General features: G+C 44.4%; 1 protein-coding gene across 38 annotated transcripts in view, besides 1 other annotated feature; it reads left to right on the forward strand.

Annotated features, from left to right (window-relative positions):
* The window catches only part of NAV2 (neuron navigator 2), a 776366-nt gene that overhangs the window by 389808 nt on the left and 368287 nt on the right, over window positions 1-18271 (forward strand). The gene's annotated exons all lie outside the window — the stretch shown is intronic.
* Window positions 12374-12875: an enhancer, noted in NCBI's record as "H3K27ac hESC enhancer chr11:19768963-19769464 (GRCh37/hg19 assembly coordinates)". NCBI's record gives its function as "activates a minimal SCP1, AML or CMV promoter by ChIP-STARR-seq in primed H9 embryonic stem cells {active_cell/tissue: H9 hESC(primed)}" and the evidence as "EXISTENCE:reporter gene assay evidence [ECO:0000049][PMID:30033119]".

An 18271-nucleotide genomic window follows, 5' to 3' on the forward strand; every position in this document is an offset into this window, starting at 1 on the left:
TCATTTGTAAATGAGGATAATAGTGTTGAGAGGAGTAAATCAGAGAAGGTCTGTAAGGTGCTGAGCCCAGGACATATCACATAGTAGGTACTCACTAAATATAAGCTGCAGTTGTCGTGCCAGGCCCACTGTGAACAACTCCAGAAGACATAAAGCTTCTCCATGGGCTTTGGGTGAAGCCTGGGACCAGGCAGCTAGGTGTTCCCAGTTGCAGGATGGCAGTGAGCTTAGCACGGGCCCCTGCTCACGCTCCCTGGCTCTCTCTGCCAGAAAAATGGGTGGTACTAGAGAGTCTGCATTTCCCTGCGAGCAGCTTTCTTCCCTTGGCATCCTAGGCAGGGCCTTTGTACAATTCCTTTTCAGCCCCCAAAGATCTATATCAGAGGTAATAGTAGTTCCAACTGATACTTACAGAGCACCTACTATGTTCCAGGCACTGGATTCATTAATCCTCCCAATCTTTCTGTGAAATCAGCACTATTATTCACCCTGTTTTACATGGGATGAAATGCAGGCACAGCAAGGCCTTGCTTAGAGCAAGTCACTTGCTAAGAATTATATAGCTAAATCAGAGCCACAACTTGAACTCCATTCTGAACCAAGGAGTTTGAAACCATTCCTCCTGCATGATGCATGAAATTTTAATAACCTGCCGACAGCCCAGGAGGTTTGCAGTTTCTCTGAGCCCAAGGGACCAGAGCCATCTGGTGGGTGCTTTTTCAAGGGAGCTGGTGTGACTGTTTCAGGGTAAAATGCAGAGAAATAGCATCACTTTTTTTTTCCCCGTGGTAAAAATAACATGCAAGGATGGGAAGAACAAATGGAGGTTGGGAGGCTGACATTGCGGGGAGGAAGGAGCTAGAATGCTGGGGGCTGTCTACCTGGTGCCATGTGCTGCCATCTGCCCAGTATGGGGGCAACATCAGCCTGACCTGCCAGCACCTGCCTGGCTACCAGTATCAGCTTTCAGGAATAAAAAGATCTTTTTCAAAAAGCCTTTGTTCCCCAGGGAAGCTCAAGGGGCAGAGTGAGGTCCGTGGAGGGTTGTGACAGTTCAAAACATGCTGTCCATTTATAGTATGCAGCAGTGACCCTATATCTCACCCTCTCTATAGCAACTAGCTCCAGACACAAACTGGGCATGGCTTTTGATCATGAAGCATGTTTTTACAAACAAAAAAATACTGAAAGTAGTATGTGAGGCTGAGATTATGTTAATTTATGCAGTTTCCACTGCTGCTAGGATTAAAAATAGCTTTCTTTCAAGAAAACTAGAACTACGCACTGTCAGTATGCCTTCTAGGCCCTCTTGTTGGGCTCCAGGACTGGTGGGCCAGACACAGGACATGGATTATGAGATCCTCCTTGGCAGTCCCAGGTTCTGGAGCTTTGCTGAAGTGGAAGATAAAGACACTTTATCTTCCAGTGGTAAGGACTCTTACAAAGTCTTTACTGCATGTTTCATAAAACTGGATATGCTGAGCTCTAATGAAAGCTGTTGTCAGCATTAAATACCCAGGGAAAGGCATGGAGGCCTTTAAAAAACTGCCACAATGCTCCTGCACTGAAGTGCTCACATTTTGCTCCATATGTGAGAGGGAGGGGAATTTGGCCAGTGTCATCCACCTCATAAAAGGCAAACCCAGGATTTAAACTCAGGTCTGGTGCCTCCAAAGCCCAGGAACTCATGACATCTCTTCCCCCAACTCTGCTGTTCTACATGTTGATTATGGCTACCTGTGGTGCTCATTTTAATCAGATTTCATCAATATAAACATTAGTGGTGGGGTCTTCCTTTAGAGTTAGTATAGCCACAACCACCTCCCCTAGGTTATGCAGGACACCTGGCAAACCTTTTCTGAGGGGCCCCTACCAGGGGAAAAAAAAACTTATTGCCAAACATTAATATGCCAGCCCCATTTTGGCGGGCCGGTCTCACACAATCTCATGAAAGAACTGTAGTGCCAGCCAGGAGGGGCAGTCCTCTTGCTCTCCTAGAATTGGCTGCTAGCCGTAGAGCCCAAGGCAACACCACTGGGGTAATTCCTGAAGATCCTTGGGACATCTGGTTGACACCATAAGTGGACAGAAGTTTAGAGACTGCTCTGAAGGGACAGCTGAGGACAGGGACTCCTGTGGTTCTGGGTCAGAGCAAGGAACAGCCTGGTCAATCCCAGCCACTGGAAAGAGACTTAGAGAATTTCAAAGAGAGCATGGAAACCAGAAAATATGAGTGAAAGGGAAGGGAGTGAATCTACATATTATACACCGTCTATATACCAGTTACAGTGCTATGCATCGTGGGGAGTTACAGGGTGCACAAGAAGGACAGAACCCATACTTTCACGGATCTTACAGCCTGGTTGGGAGAATAGGCATTATAATTACATCATGGCAGGGAGAAGGGATGGGGAAGAGGAGATGGGGAAAGGGCCCAGCTGTCAAATAGATAATTCCAAGGCAGAGTAATATGGTAGAAGGTGGTATAACCTGGCAATTGCAATCACAGACTTGGGATCAAAGAGACTGGATCCAAGAACCATCCTTGCTCCTTTCCAGTTCCATGTCCCTATGCAAGGCATTTATTTATACTCTGAGCTCAGTTTCCTCATCTGAAAAATGGAGATAAGAGTTCTTACCCGACAGGGTGCTTGAGAGGGTTAAGTGAAATAGTGCATGGAAGGCACTTAGCAGGAGGTCTGACATGCATATCGTGCCCAGTGAATGGTGGCTATTACTAGTTATTATCTGATTTCTGAGACCTGAGCAGATCCAACGCAGCTGATCCGAGTAGGGGAGCTGAGATAAGTAGGTGCTCTGACAGCCCAAGCCATGGCTGATGGTGAAACCACTGACAATCTGACAGCAAAGGAAGAGGGGACCAAAAAATCTACTGTCTCAGCAGCTCTTAGAGCAATTAGTGGTGGTTATGATGTGAATTTCTGTTTGATGTCCTCGTCTTTTTGAGAAGATGTGAGTGTATAATGTACAACTTCATGAATGAAAAGGTAAAATAAAATTTTGAGTGCTTTGAACAGGAAGATTATCTGGAAAATTCACTGACTGGGGAGGCCTCCTTCCCTGACATGGCATGCAGAAAGAGCTGTCTTGGGCTTATGGAGAGGTTGACACCTCCAGAACCATCTGCTCTGCAGAGAGTTCCCTCAGGGGGCCAGTGACATGCCCCAGAGTCGGGTCCCTTTCCTCCCTCAGTGCCAGCTATGCTTTCCCTGCCACATGGCAACAGCCCAGGCAGGGCAGGGGCCTCTAGACACATGTCTGCTGAAGACCCAGCAGGAGCCTGTCAGCCTTGCCCAGGCCGGATTTCCAGTTCTGTAGATGTAGATCATAAATGTGGGTGACAGATGTGGGAGAGACACATCCAGGAGATGAAAAGATATCTCCATCTGCTTGGTTCTGGAGAAAATACGGAGACCATAAGTGGATGGTGGCTTTTCCTAATGGGGAACTGTGGCTGAGTTTTCCTGGGGCGAAGCAGTATTTACAACCAACCCAGACCCCGCCCCCAGTATCCTGACACCAGGTTTGGCTGATCAAGTTGGTAGAGGGGGCTTGTTTGCTAGGGGATACTGGGGAGAATGGTTCCTGGCCATTGTGAGGAGAGCTCAGTCTCTGTCCTGTAAAGGAAACCACACAGGTTTTAGTGTTTGGGCTTTGTGAAGGCTCTTTAAAGGTGTTTTAATGACAGCAGAGATGAAAGGTAAGGCTTCTGCTGCTCTGATGTGTGACTGTCTGTCCAAGCTGCCCACAGCAGTGCAGAGTTGTGTGCTGGAGCTCAGAACCTCCCTTGGAGCTCAGTAAATTAGCTTCTGTCCCCTGGTTCACGTATTGGTACCTGCTGGGAGAAGAGGCAGAAGCTGGAGAAAACACACAACTAATATTAGATGGAAAAATGGAATTAGAAACATATACAAATCACTAGCCTGGGCAACATGGTGAAACGCCATCACTACAAAAAATACAAAAATTAGCTGGGCATAGTGGCACACGCCTGTGGTCTCAGCTACTCAGCAGGCTAAGGTGGGAGGATCACTTGAGCCCAGGGAGTTTGAGGCTGCAGTGAACCACGATTGTGCCACTGGGCTTCAGTCTGGGTGACAGAGTGAGACCCTCTGTCAAAAAAAGAAAAGAAGATACATAGACAACTCTTACACACTTCCCTTGTAATCCTCCCAACTTGGTCAGTAAAATTTAAAATCATTTATTGAACATTCATATATACTAGATTCTGTGTTACTCTCTTCATATTCTCAGTTAATCATCGTAGCAACCTAGAGCATTCTCATTTTATTTGCATTTTAATGATGAGAAATGAGTAAAGAGAGGGCTAGATGCCCAAGGTCACACAGGAAATGACAGAGCAGAGATGTAAACTCAGGTCTGTCCCCCTTAATTGTTACTTCAGAGGTCACGCTGGGGACCCTGAATCCCCCTGTTTTCAGGGTCAGTAGCGAATTTTTAAGCTGAGGGGTGTAGCTGATGGCCCTCAGACTGAATCAGGTCTGTGGAGACATTTGCTTATCTGGCACATTGGTTTAGAAAATTTTTAAAAATGATTTTAGAGAGTGTTCTCTGTTAGCCACAGTATCCACCATGCTCATATGTCTTATACCTGGTCAGCTTCTTGGCCCCTATGGGAATTTGAGTTTATAATCCCTAGCTAAACCTCTCTTTTGCTGGAGTCAGTGATGGAAACAGAGGAGACTGGTAGTGTCCTAAGGAAAAAATGCTTTATTTTGCCCTCTGAAGAAGGAAGCAGCGGCTGGCAGCTCCAGACTTCGGCCAAGCTGGATGGAGGAACTTCTAAGAGGGCCCTGGTGTTTGCTTTTAGGCTCAGAACCCAGCTTTCATGAATTTAAATTTCACAGTAGATCTGAAGAGGACAGTGGAGGGGAAACTGTATTATCCTCTCCTTGGAGAGGGAAAGGAAGGTTCTCCCTGTTTATTCGTACTCCGAGCAGGCTCCCCCTGGAGGGCAGCCACTGGGAGCTTGATGGGGAATCCTTTGTACTGCGCACTTTGGAGGCATCTACTAGAAACAAAGTACCCTGTGACATGCTGGAAGGGATCTCCGGACAGTAAAACATACAAGGAACAGACCCAGGGCAAACTGTACTTATTCATGATGGGCCCTGAAGTGTGAAGGGGTTTATTCAAAAGAAGTAGGTAGGTGGCATTCCAGGTAAAGGGGACATTGTGGGCAAAGACATGGGGATGAAACGTGTGCTGTGTCAACTCAGGGTTAAATGGATTAAGGGCAGTGCAAGATGTGCTTTGTTAAACAGATGCTTGAAGGCAGCATGCTCCTTAAGAGTCATCACCACTCCCTAATCTCAAGTACCCAGGGACACAAACACTGCCGAAGGCCACAGGGACCTCTGCCTAGGAAAACAGAGACCTTTGTTCACGTGTTTATCTGCTGACCTTCTCTCCACTATTATCCTGTGACCCTGCCACATCCCCCTCTCTGAGAAACACCCAAGAATGATCAATAAATACTAAAAAAAAATAAAAATAAAAATAAAAAGAACACAGGAGACATATTCAGGCAAGGAGATTTACTGATATTTTGCAGAGGGGAAGAGTACAATGGGGGAATTGAACTAGAAACAATACTTCCTTTGGTAGCCCAGTCAGCAATAATAGCAAACATTTATTGAGTGCTTACTGTATCTCGGGCATGTTATCAGCATGTGACATATATTGTTTTCTCCAGTCCTCACAAAAAGCCTATAAGGTAGACACTATTACTATTGTTATCATCTACATTTGCAGATGAGGAAGCTGATGCAAAGAGCTCACAGCCACATTCCAGATCACCCAGCTAGTAACCCAGGTATTATGGTCTTAGAGCCCAAGAGCCCACACTCCTAACCTCTTCTTCCTGCTGCTTCCAATAGCAGCCAACAGTCTGGGTGACTTATCAGTAGAAGGGATGTGAGATTGTAGCAAGAGATCAAGTGAGAGGAGTTTAGATCCTGCAATGGCACCATTTTCAAAGATGGGAATGTAACCTTTTCTGACATCAAGGCTGTCTCCTAAATGGCCTTAGCCTCCCCCTTACAGATTTTATTTTTTAATTTTTAATTGTATAAATTTAAGATGTACAATCTGTTTTCATATACTTGTACATAGTGAAATGATTACTACAGGGAAGCAATTTCATATGTCCATCATCTCATATAAGTATCTTTATGTGTGTGGTAAGAGTACTTAAAACCTACTCTCTTAGAAAATTTTCAGCATACAATATAATATTAACTATAGTCCTCATGCTGCACTTTAGATCTCTAGATTTATTTATCCCACAGAACTTCAACTTTGTCCCCTTTGTTCTATATCTCCCCATTCTTTCCCCCACTTCCCTCCCCCACTTCAGGTAACAACTGTTCTACTCTCTGCTTCTATGAGCCTGGCTTTCTTTCTTTCTTTCTTTTTTTTTTTTTTTTAAAGATTCCACATATAAGAGAGATCATGCGGTATTTTTCTTTCTGTGTCTGGGCTTATTTCACTTAGCCTAATGTCCTGCAGTTTCATCCATGTTGATGCAAATGGCATGATTTCCTTCTTTGTAAAAGTTGAATAATATTTCATTGTGTATGTATGTATCATGTGTGTGTGTGTATATATATATATATATATATATATATATATATATATATATCACAATTTATTTATCCATTTATCCGTTGATAGACATTTATGTTGTTTCCATATCTTAGCAATTGCAAATAATGCTGCAACAAATAGGGGAGTGCAGATATGTCTATGAGGTGCTGACTTCATTCCCTTTGGGTATATACCCAGAAGGGGGATTGCTGGGTCATACGGCATTTCCACTTTTAATTTCTTGAGGAACCTCCATGCTATTTTTCATAATGCCTGCTTTCCCAAAAACAGTGTTCAGGGGTTACCTTTTCTCCACATCCTTGCCAACACTTGTTATCTTTTGACTTTTTTTGGATGATAGCCATCCTAACAGGTGTAAGGTAATATCTGCATCTCACTATAGTTTTCATTTGCCTTTTCCTGATGATTAGTGATGTTGAGCACCTTGTCATACACCTGTTCTCCCCTTCACCCCTCCTGAGCCCCTTATACTCCAGCCCAACCAAACATTTTTGGAAGACCATGGACTCAGCAGTCATCGGGACTTGGGGTCAAATACTGGCTCTACCACTTCCTACCTCCTGTAACTTTGGGCTAGTTACTTAACCTCTTTCAGTCTCAATTTCCTCATCTGTAAAACAAGGGTGATAAAAGTACTTGCCTCATACATTCTTTGTGAGAATTAAAGAAGACAAGTGCAAGGCACTTAACACAGAGTCTGGCACATAGTTAGTGCCCAATAAACAGCTACTTTAAGGCCAGAATAAATTTCACACATGGTCATCATCTAGCTCTGGGATTGGCAAGGGTGTGGGTGTGGTTTGCAAGGAAGACTCATGGACTGCCTGCTACCCACTACGTGAGGCGCTCCAGGTAAGAGCTGGTGGCTGGCAGTTCATGCCTCCTTGTTCTGCTTGGTGCCTATGTGGATGAGGCACTGGTTCCAGGGAGGTTACAGGGCTGGTTCCCCTGTACCAGGGCACAGCCTGGTATCAGCTCTGCCCATCTCTAGATAGTGGGAGCAGGAATCCTTCAGTCCTGATGCACAGATGGGCAGGAAATCTAAAAGCCACCTCTGCCCTTGTCCAAGCCAGTCCACATGTGGATTAGAAGCTGCAGCTCTGCACTGCTGTACCTGGAAGGCACAGACAGGCAGACAGGCCCATGTTCCTGTCCACTTTGGTGGCTGTCCTGGCAAGCTGTGGCTACTATTGCCACCTGGTGGCGTTTCACAGCAACACATGCATGGAGACTTCTGTAGTGTCTTATTAAAGATGTCAAAGTTTGTAGCATCCTGGGAATTGAAGGTCCACTTCTACCTGCTCACAGTGCGGAAGGCAAAACCAAGATTAGAGAAGGAAGAACAGTGGGGTTTAGGAGAAAGAGCACTGTGAGAGTTGTGTAGCCTTGGTTCAAATTCTACTCCCCCTATTTGGGATTTTGGACAAATGACAACCTATGTGAACTTGTTTCTTATCTAAAATGTGGTGGAGATCCTCAACATTTACTCATAAGGCCACTGTGAGGCTCCTATGAAGGGCTTTATAAACTGCAAAGGACCCTACAGGTGGAGAGGTGGTGGTTATAGCTGTTGCAGCTCCAAAGTGAGGCCAGTACTTCTGAACTTGGGAGTCAGGGGTCTGGCCTAGCATAACCAACCACTACCCAAGCCTAGCAACAAGACAGATGGCAGAAGGAATGGATATGAGCTACTCCCTCTTTGCTGGCCCAGGATATCTCCAGGGTGGGTGAAGCACTGGGGTCTTCCACCCGTGCTGTGAGTTCCTGGTGCTTTCTCCCTCCTGGGTCTTGCCTGCAGTCTGCTCACACAAGTGTAGCTTCAGGTGGGAATGCCTAGTGCCTGCAGTTGTCAGTTCTAGGCATGAGGAGCTTGTGTCTGGGTTTCCCCAAAGGACAACATTCTGGGTCTCAATGAAGGACAAGATGCAGAATTCCAAGGCGAGGCCACAAAAAAGTGCTGGGCTTAGCCTAGAGCTACCTCTCCAGCCCCAGGAATGTGACGGTATCTGGACCTGGACACAAAGCATTAGCTCATCCCTTCTGATGATAGACAAAGAGCCTAGTGCTCAGAGTTGGGCAGTCATCCCGGCAGCTTCTCACTGTCCTGCCCAGGCAGCTGTCTGGACTGGTCCAGCCCAAAGAGCCTGGAGTGTCTACTTACCCCACTGGCATGGAAGGTTTGGGTCAGGCCAGGGTCATCCCAATCCTCAGGCCCTAATGCTAAGCCCATCTCACAGGTACTCGGAGGAGGAGTCCTATTTGGGTTGTAGTATGCTTCCCCTCCACTGGCCTCAGATACAGTTGGTTTACTGAGCACCTAATATGTGTTAGATAAGGTACAAGATGTTTTCACAGAGATTATCTCATCTCTTCCTCAAAGAAGCCCTGGAAGTGTGGTGTGATTGTTCCCATATTACAGATGAAGAAACTGAGGCTTACAGAGGTTCAGTCACTTAGTGAAGTGGGAGCTTGGTTTTAAACCCATACTTCTGCCTCTAGGGCTTGCCTTTGTGTAGTTTAAGAGTGAAAGACTTTCCAGAAAGAGACCTGGAGTGAAGGCCTATCCTAGGGATGAGTTGCAGGCCTTCACTGTGCAGAGTAGAGGATGCCAATGGCACACTTTGCCAGAGACCCATTGAAACACTCCCCAGTGCCAGCTGTTGGCTGTCACTCCTTCCATCTCCCTGTCCTAAATACCTCCAGAAGGTTTAGTTCTGACACCACTCATGTGGGGCCCATTTAGAGAGACAGTGAGTTAGGGAACATGGCTGAGGATGGAGGAAGGAGCACCACTAATTGTGGTAAACCCATAATTAGTTCTCTGCTTATGGCTTCAATCAGTACTTTTAATTTAAAAGGTAATATCTGTGGATTTTTTTTTTAAAGATTTGTGACATGGGTATAAAAGGAATAGAAAACACTCATGTTTTCTCCAACCAACCTCACCCCACTGTCTCAGAAATCACCTCTATGAACAGTTTCTTGTGCATCATTCCAGAAAATTTGTACAAAAACAAGTATATTCAAATACATCTATCCTTTCTTTACTCCAGTTGGAATTTCACCATCCTCACCATCCTACAGAGGTCTTCTTTCATGCATCATCATCTCTTAGGCATCTCCTGACATAGATGTCAAATGCCTTCTCTTAACTCTGCACTGTAGACTATTATATGGCCATTGTCCTCCTGGTAGGCATTTTGGTTATCCTGATTTTTTGCCGTCATGAACAATGTGCTGATTACACCTCTATTTTTGCACAGTTTCCCATATAGGACTGTAAGATAGGTGGACTCCTGAAAGCATAATTATTGGATCAAAGTACATGCTTTTTAGATTTTACTAAATATTCCCTATCGCTCTCTAGCAGGGTTGTACTGTCACCAGCACTAGGAGTAGAAATGATCTCCACATGGAAGATGAGTCCAGTAGTCATGTGGGACAGTTGCTGAGAAGACATGATTTCAGAGGCACCCAGAAACTGCTCATGATCCTGTCCCCCTCAGGAATCTCCCCTTTCCGCCTGTCATGGTGTCTGGAATTCTCATTCATTCCTTGACCTGTGGCATTGTCTCCAGAAAGCTCAGGTGTTTATTTTATGACTGCATTTGCAAAAGACAAATATAATCCAGGCTAAATTGTATCCATTTCATCCTTCTGGTTTAAAAAACAAATTACAACATTTCCTTGGGCCCCTAAAACTATCTTGGCTCCTAAGCATTGTGCCTACTCTGCCTAATGGGTAAGTTGGCCCTCGATTTTGTCCCCAGAGTAGCCCTCCACACACCTGCTTCCCTACATGTTGTCACCATTCCTGCCCCTGGCTTTTGACACTGGAAAGGTGTAAAATACAATCTTTCTTGGGGGTAGCCGGCTATCACAGAAAGCGGTGGTCCCCAGCCTTTCTGGCACCAAAGACCCAGTTTTGTGGAAGACAATTTTTCCATGGACAGAGATGCAGGATATGGTTTCGGGATGAAACTTTTGCACCTCAGATCATCAGGCATTAGATTCTCATAAGGAGTGTGCAACCTAGATCCCTCGCATGTGCAGTTCACAATCGGGTTCACGCTCCTGTGAGAATCTAATGCCACCACTGATCTGACAGGCAGAGCTCAGGTGGTAATGCTCACTCGCCCACCACTCACCTCCTGCTGTGCAGCCCAGTTCCTAACAGGCCATACAATGGTACTTGTCCATGGTTCAAGGTCTGGGGACCCCTGACATAAAGCACTGGGCAACATTTGGATGGGATCAGGGCTGACCGTATTTACTAACAACTGCAGAATCCTGCAGTTTCCAAAGCATTTTTATCAACATGATTTTCTTAAAATATTATGCCCATTTTACAGATTAGGGAAATGAAGACACTAAAACAGAGAAGAGAAGTGATTTGTCCAAAACACAAAGCTAGTAAGAAATAGAATCATAGGGTCAGGTCAAATGCAGCCTCGGCCCACTTCACAGCTTCCAGCACAGTTAGGTTCTGCTGGATCTCATGATATATCTTTGTCCCTGAACATCTCATATGTGTGGCATTGCAGAAGACATGCTGACAGTGTCACATCCTGACAGGTGCACAAGTGGAGCTCAACATATTTGGGTGGCATATGGAAGCTAATTGCAGCCGTGGTTCCCAAATCTCTCCCCAAGTAACTGACTTCAGTATGCGTTTGTATGTTTTTTTTTAACTAGAGTAAATTTGATTGTCACACATGCCTCCAATCTTATTTTAATGTAAGTAGAGCATGATTGGAAATTCAGAATTAGACTGCCCAGCATTAATTACCTCTCAACTACACTTTTTATTTATGGAGCATGTTTACTGTCATTAATGAGGAGAACGCTAGAAGGGCATGGAAGGAGGATTGATCAAAAGAAGGTGGATTGAATAAGTAGTTATGGATAGGGCAATTTGAAATGGATTTATTCCTTTTTAATTTAAATTGTATCTGATTTCTGCATTCTGATTCTTCTAACCCCTTTGCCACATGCCCCCATGTTCTCTTTTTGAATCTTGCTCTCATTCACCTCGTATTGCCCCATCCACAGTGTTAATAAGATAATGTCCAGGATGCCCCCTAAAATTGGTACTCCTGATTGCAAGGGGCTGCAAGATTCTCTCATCATGTCTGTCCCGGCTTAAAAAAAAACATGAAGATTATCACTGTCTACCTTTTATTGAACACTCTTTTTTTAATTTTATTATTACTATACTTTAAATTTTAGGGTACATGTGCACAACGTGCAGGTTAGTTACATATGTATACATGTGCCATGTTGGTGTGCTGCACCCATTAACTCATCATTTAGCATTAGGTATATCTCCTAATATCTATCCCTCTCCCCTCCCCCCACCCCACAACAGTCCCCAGTGTGTGACATTCCCCTTCCTGTGTCCATGTGTTCTCATTGTTCAATTCCCACCTATGAGTGAGAACATGCGGTATTTGGTTTTTTGTCCTTGCGATAGTTTGCTGAGAATGATGGTTTCCAGTTTCATCCATGTCCCTATAAAGGACACGAACTCATCATTTTTTATGGCTGCATAGTATTCCATGGTGTATATGTGCCACATTTTCTTAATCCAGTCTATCATTGTTGGACATTTATGTTGTGAACACTCATTATGTCTCAAGTACTTTCTCACCACTCATTATTTTACCTCCTAATAACACTATTAGGAGGAGTAGGAATAATTATACCTAATATATAGCTGTGAAACCTGAGGCTTAGAGAGGTTGAATCAGTAGTTTGAAGTCACACAGCAGATATAGGAGTCAAATTCATTACACATTGTCAACACTGACTATGCCATTCTCACACAGGACAGTAGTCAGAAAGGGCTGAATGAAGCATATCGCCAAGCAACCAGGAGTGGAAGGGATCTAGGACTAGGGCTGAGTCTCAATGCTTGGACCACTCAGCATTCAATTTGCCCTTGCAGGGGAGGCAAATCTGCTTTTGTCCCATTCCTGGCGTCCTCTGCTCCCCCTGACTATCTTTAGGCAGTAGCATTGATCTGGTTTCAAGCTATTTTGGTTTTTCAAACTAAAAACTAAGCTGAGTTGGGCTACACTATTTACTTAATGCTTTCCCTTGGCAGTTATTTCCCTTCCAGGAAAGAGCTACTGTGTGTCATTTTCTCTCCTGACAGTGATCCCTTCTGGAAACCAGGAGCTTCCGGCCCAGGTAGAGACCTGGAAGACTTGGCCAGGCTGCTAGGCCTCTGTCTGCTGCCCCTGGGGAGCCTGCTAACCAAGTAGGGAGATGGTTTGCAGCCCAGGAAACCCTGAGCACATGGGCAGTTGAGCATGGCATTAGTGGGATATGCTGGGCATGTAGTGAGACCTTGTCCAGGCTTTGTGGGGAAGGCTCTGATGTCAAACGAGGCAGCTCTGAGGCTGTGGGCAGTGCTGACCAGTGGACTGGTGGAGGCAGAGAGATTGGATTTCCTTCAAAGCAAGTCACAGTCAATTCTCCCAGCTTGTTCAGAGGCCCTTATAGATGCCTGCATGTGCCCTGGGATTTTCACATCCCAGGAGACAGTGAGGCAGACCTGTTTACCCACATTTTACAAATTAGGTAACCAAGGATTGCAGAGTTCAATTAAGCCACTCTTATTTATCAAGCATCTTACTGTGATGTGAAGGCACAAGAGACCTGGACCCCACCTCCAAGGAGTATGAGAGAGGGAAAAAGAAATGTAGCCAGGCCACTGGAAGTGTCACAATCTAGGCTGGATTTGAATCCTCCCTCTGCTACTTCTCACTATTTAATCTTTTTTGAATCTCATTTTCCTTACCTGTAAACTAGTTATAATACATACACCACAAACTCCTCAGGGACAAGGGCCAGGCTTGTCTTGTTCTCCACCTAATCCCTGGCGCCTAGCATGGTGCCTGGCACAGAGTAAGGAATGCATATCTGTTAAATGAATGAGTAGACATTGTCATGAGTATTAAATGTAATGATGTGGGTAAAATGCTTACTTAAAGGTTCATGGGAAGCACTCAATGAATGGTAGTGTTAATACTCTGTTAGGAACGGGGCAGGGAAGGTGCAGGCACCTCACTTCACAGAGAGGTGCAGACCAAAGAGAAACAGGCTTGCAAGACAATGAGCATATCCCTCAGCCAGGTTTCCAAAACAGATGATGCTGCTGAAAGGTAAAGATGTGAGTGACCATGATTAAAGATATTGACAGGCAGAGATAGGGAAGAACTTGCCCAAACCACAAGGCTGGTGACTGGCAAAAGCCAGGGTTAAAACTTGGAGCTTCTAACTCTCAGTTTGTGTTGTTTCTGGGCCATTCAGAGGTCTTCTTGTACCCTTTAAAGTTTTACCAGCAGATTGTTTAAGCATCCTCTGTATGAAGCTCTTAGAATTTCAAATGGACTCTTATTTTTAGAAGCAGCATCCCACTGAGCATTTGACAGTGATCGATTCATTTCCCAGTTTGTTTTTTAATAAGCTTAAAGGTTACTGTTGATAACTGTTTATAGACAGTTAATGTGGTACTTGCAGTTCCTGATTTCTTAGGCCTGGGACTCACTGCGCCTTCAAGATGCTGAAACCAAGCAAGGTGTGAGGAGTAGGTGGGGGCATCTCCCTCCCAGATTTTCCTCACCTCTTCAAGGCTGTCATTCACAACTCCAGTCACTGGCTGCTGCAACGTTGTTCCCAATTTGACTAAAATGTCGTTATTTTTTATGATGACTTTATTCTTTCCATCATAAGCTGGATGATTAGGAGCTAGAGGCAGCCAGTAATTAAGCTCACCTGTCAGAGTTTAGATTCAGTCAGAATGAAACACATCCTTTAACTTCCCCTTTCATTTCCCTGGATGTCAAGACGTCTGAATTAAGCTCCTTATGGGAACAATATCTGACCCAAAAATGTTAGGACAGGGATTACCGAGATGGAAATTCGGTTACGTTACCTACTTGTCATGACTTAGAAGGGCTGTGAATTCTCAGGCTGCTTGAGAAAACTACTCATTTGTGAGGAGAATTGAGTTCCAAACCATAATAGCTAGTGGAAGCAATTTCTGGGATCACAGCATTCAGACTTGATATTCATTTGTCCCCTTGAGAAGGAATTCAGGCTAGAGACTTTCACGAATAAAAGTGCAAAGTCCACAAAATCTCCTGGTGCCGTTTGTCATCTGCGGAGAGGCCTGCCTCACGTCTATGGCTTTGAGGGAGCAGAGCATTCAGATACTTTGTTTCTGCTGGTGGGCCATTTGAGCCAATGGCTAGATGAAGCTTTGTTCTTGACTCTTGAAAATTATACTCTGATGTACTTCAAAGGGATTCTAATGAGGACATTGGAAGCACAAAGAATTCAGCTTTGCAAAGTCAGTTCTCAATTCCATAAAGTTCGGCATTACTTGATTTCTCTAACGAACCTCTTCGCTCTCCCTTGCCTGTGTCTGGGTGAGGATTGTCTTAGAGGACATTGATCATTTTCACCTTCATTTTCCATTTTTGCTTCTGGTATGCTCATCTCACCCCCAGTTTTATCAACAGCTCCTCTGCATTCTTTTCTCTCTTCACATGCAAGGTTTGGCAGAAATGGCCTTCGTTTCTAAAATGTTGATTAAAGACATTTTCTGAAAATCTATCAGTCCCAAACCTTCTCACTTATACACATCTTTTTCTCTCACAACTGCCATGTGTCTCATTTTCTCCCCAGGTATTTTTCTGTCGTTCCCTTGACCTTTCAAACAATGCTTTGGCCGTTGCCAGTAAAGAACTCACTCAGGCTTGCTGTCCTAGACTCTGAACACATCTGCCACCTCTGTCCAGGTAGTTTTAATATTAGTGAGATATGGCTAACTCTATCCCACCTTCCTGCTGCCTTGGGAGCCCTCACCCACTCTGTTAATGCTGCTTCCAGAGCATTCCCCAAAGTAGGAAGTTATAGAATGTCCCGTGTGGAAGGGGCTTTATACTGAGTTCTATCTCTCACTTCAGATAGAGTAACTGAAGACCAGAGAGGGAAAACAACTTGCACAGTCACAAAAGGAGGCAGAGACAGAGTCAGAATAGGGTCCCAGGCTCCTCTTGGCCCTTTCCCTTTGAGAATTCATTTCTATACACAAATGCCACACAGGAATTCAGGATCCTTATTGAGTCGGCATTGCTGCTCTCATTTGTGGAGCATTAGCTATATACTATACACTGTGCTAAGTGCTTTTTATGTATGCTTCATCTGATTCCCACCAGGTACTCTATAAGATGAAATCCATTTTGCAGATGAAGACACTGAGGCAATGGTATGCTGAGGCTGGCTGGTACTATCTCTTGAGAGCCAGTTGTGTGCATCTCTTCCCAATTTCACATTCAGTGACATCATGTTGCTAGCTAAAAATAGACTATAGCAAGAGTATTTACACCATGGAAATTGGCAAATGCTACAAATCAGAGCATTTCTTTATCCCCTTTCCTCCCAAAGAAGATCCAGTTTCCCAGCGCACCACTTAGCTTACATATTAGCTAAGCAGCTTACCCAAGGGCACACAGCAGGGAGGTGACAGAGCTGGGACTTTTATCCAGGGCTCTGACTTCGGAGTCTGAGCTCTTAACCAATACTCATACTGCTAGTCAACAAGGACAGGTTTTCAGTGACTCATTTACTCTTAGACTGGAGATGATGAGTAGGAGAAAGCAGCTGCCAGGGGTCTGGTACATAGGATGGTAGCAAGGTGTGGGGTACCCATATCTATAGAGACCGTACCCCGCCAGCTAGAGAAGGATGCCCCCAGAAGTTTTCCCAGATCTCACTCCACACCAACCACATCAGCTTCCTTACTGTTTTCCAAGTTTTTCAAGCATGCTCCCAACTCAGGGCCGTTATTGTTGTTCCTGCTGTCTTAAATGCTTTTCCACCGATAAACACGAGCTTGCTCCTTTACTTCTTTAGTATGTGTGCTCTTTCTTGACCAACCCATCTAAACTAGCACCCCAATATTCTCTACTCTCTTCCTTTATTTTCATAGCATGTATCACTACCTGTTTTCAAAGCACGTATTTGCTTTTTGTCCTTCTCTTTCAGTGGAATGCAAGCCCTGTGAAGGTTGGAGCTGTCCCTGTTCACTGTTGTAGCTTCAGAGTAGAGAGCAGAGAGGGATTAGATAGGAAAATAAGTGAATCTCAGCTGTATTCTACTCCACATGCCACCTTTCTTAGACTTGACCCAGGTGGTCAACTACTAGCTCACACATTCACCAGTAAAGGCAAAGGGCTTTCTCCTTGGTTCTGTGATCTCGTAGGATCTTCAAAGTCTAAAACCATCTTCTTTCCACCTTGGAGCCTCTTCTTTCATGTTCTCACCGTCCCTCTGAAAATAGGCCAACAGTCATATTTGTTGGTGCTGATTTGCAGACAGATAATAGATCAAACATTTTCAGAAGGAACCTTTGGCCCCAAGAACTAATTACATCCCCATCTTGGAAGGTGACTGTCCCTGTGTCATTTAAACTGTGTAAGAGAATGGTGGAGGCTGAGTGTGACCTTTGGCAAAGCCCACACGAGGGTACTCAGGGAACAGCCAGCAATGGGAGAAGCTGCAGTGAGCCCTGGCCTGGGTACCTGTGCACTTATTTTCACCTGGAGGGCCACACTGATGTTGTTTCCTGCATTTCTTGGGTCATGTCCAGCAGTAAATGCATAATCACTCTTACATACCCATGCACATATACATACACTCAACTTCCTTTCTCATTTCAAAAATCTTATAGAAAATGTCAACCATAGGGATGGGAAAAGGATGATTAATAATCACCTGCAATCCCACCCCTGAGATAAAAATTGTGAATATTTTGATCAATTTCCTTTTAGTCATTTTTTTCCTACTAATTAACATCTGTATATTTTGTGACCCATATTTTTAAAAACTTAGTACATCATGAACACCTTTTCATGTCATTAAGGATTTTTATACACAGTCACTTTTAGTAGCCAGAAAGTAGTTGTATGAAGGTACCATGATTTGTATAACTCATTCCTGACCATTGGACAGGAATGTTGTTTCCAGTTGTATATTATCACAGATAATACTATGAGGGGATTTCTCATTGGTAAGTATTAGACAAACAGTGGTTATTCTCATGGTTATTCACTTCAATCATTGTAAACTCAATGCCATGGACTGAATTGTGTTCCCCCAAATTCATATGTTGAAGCCTTAATCCCCAATCTGATGGTATTTGGAGGTGGGGCCTTTGGGAGGTAACGAGGTTGAGATGAGGTCATGAGGCTGAAGCTCCCATGATGGCATTATTGCTCTTATAAGGAGATGAAGGTATTAGACTCATTCTTTCCACCATGTGAAAATAAAGTGAGAAGACAACTGCCTGTGAATCAGGAGGAACACCGTTACCAAGAACCTAACCATGCTGGCACCAGATCTCAGACTTCCAGCCTCCAGAACTGAGAAATGAATGTTTCTTGTTTAGGCCACCCAGTCTACGGTATTCTGTTATAGCAGTCCAAGCTGAGTAAGACACTCCCCACTTCATGAGTCCTTCACTTGTACTTATTAGAATGGTACCTTCATCTTGACCATGATTTTGCCTCTAGGCCTTTGCATATTCTGTTCCCTCTGTTTGGATAGC

This window comes from Homo sapiens, chromosome 11 (genome assembly GCF_000001405.40).
Source record: "Homo sapiens chromosome 11, GRCh38.p14 Primary Assembly".
In the NCBI taxonomy this organism is placed as follows: domain Eukaryota; kingdom Metazoa; phylum Chordata; class Mammalia; order Primates; family Hominidae; genus Homo; species Homo sapiens.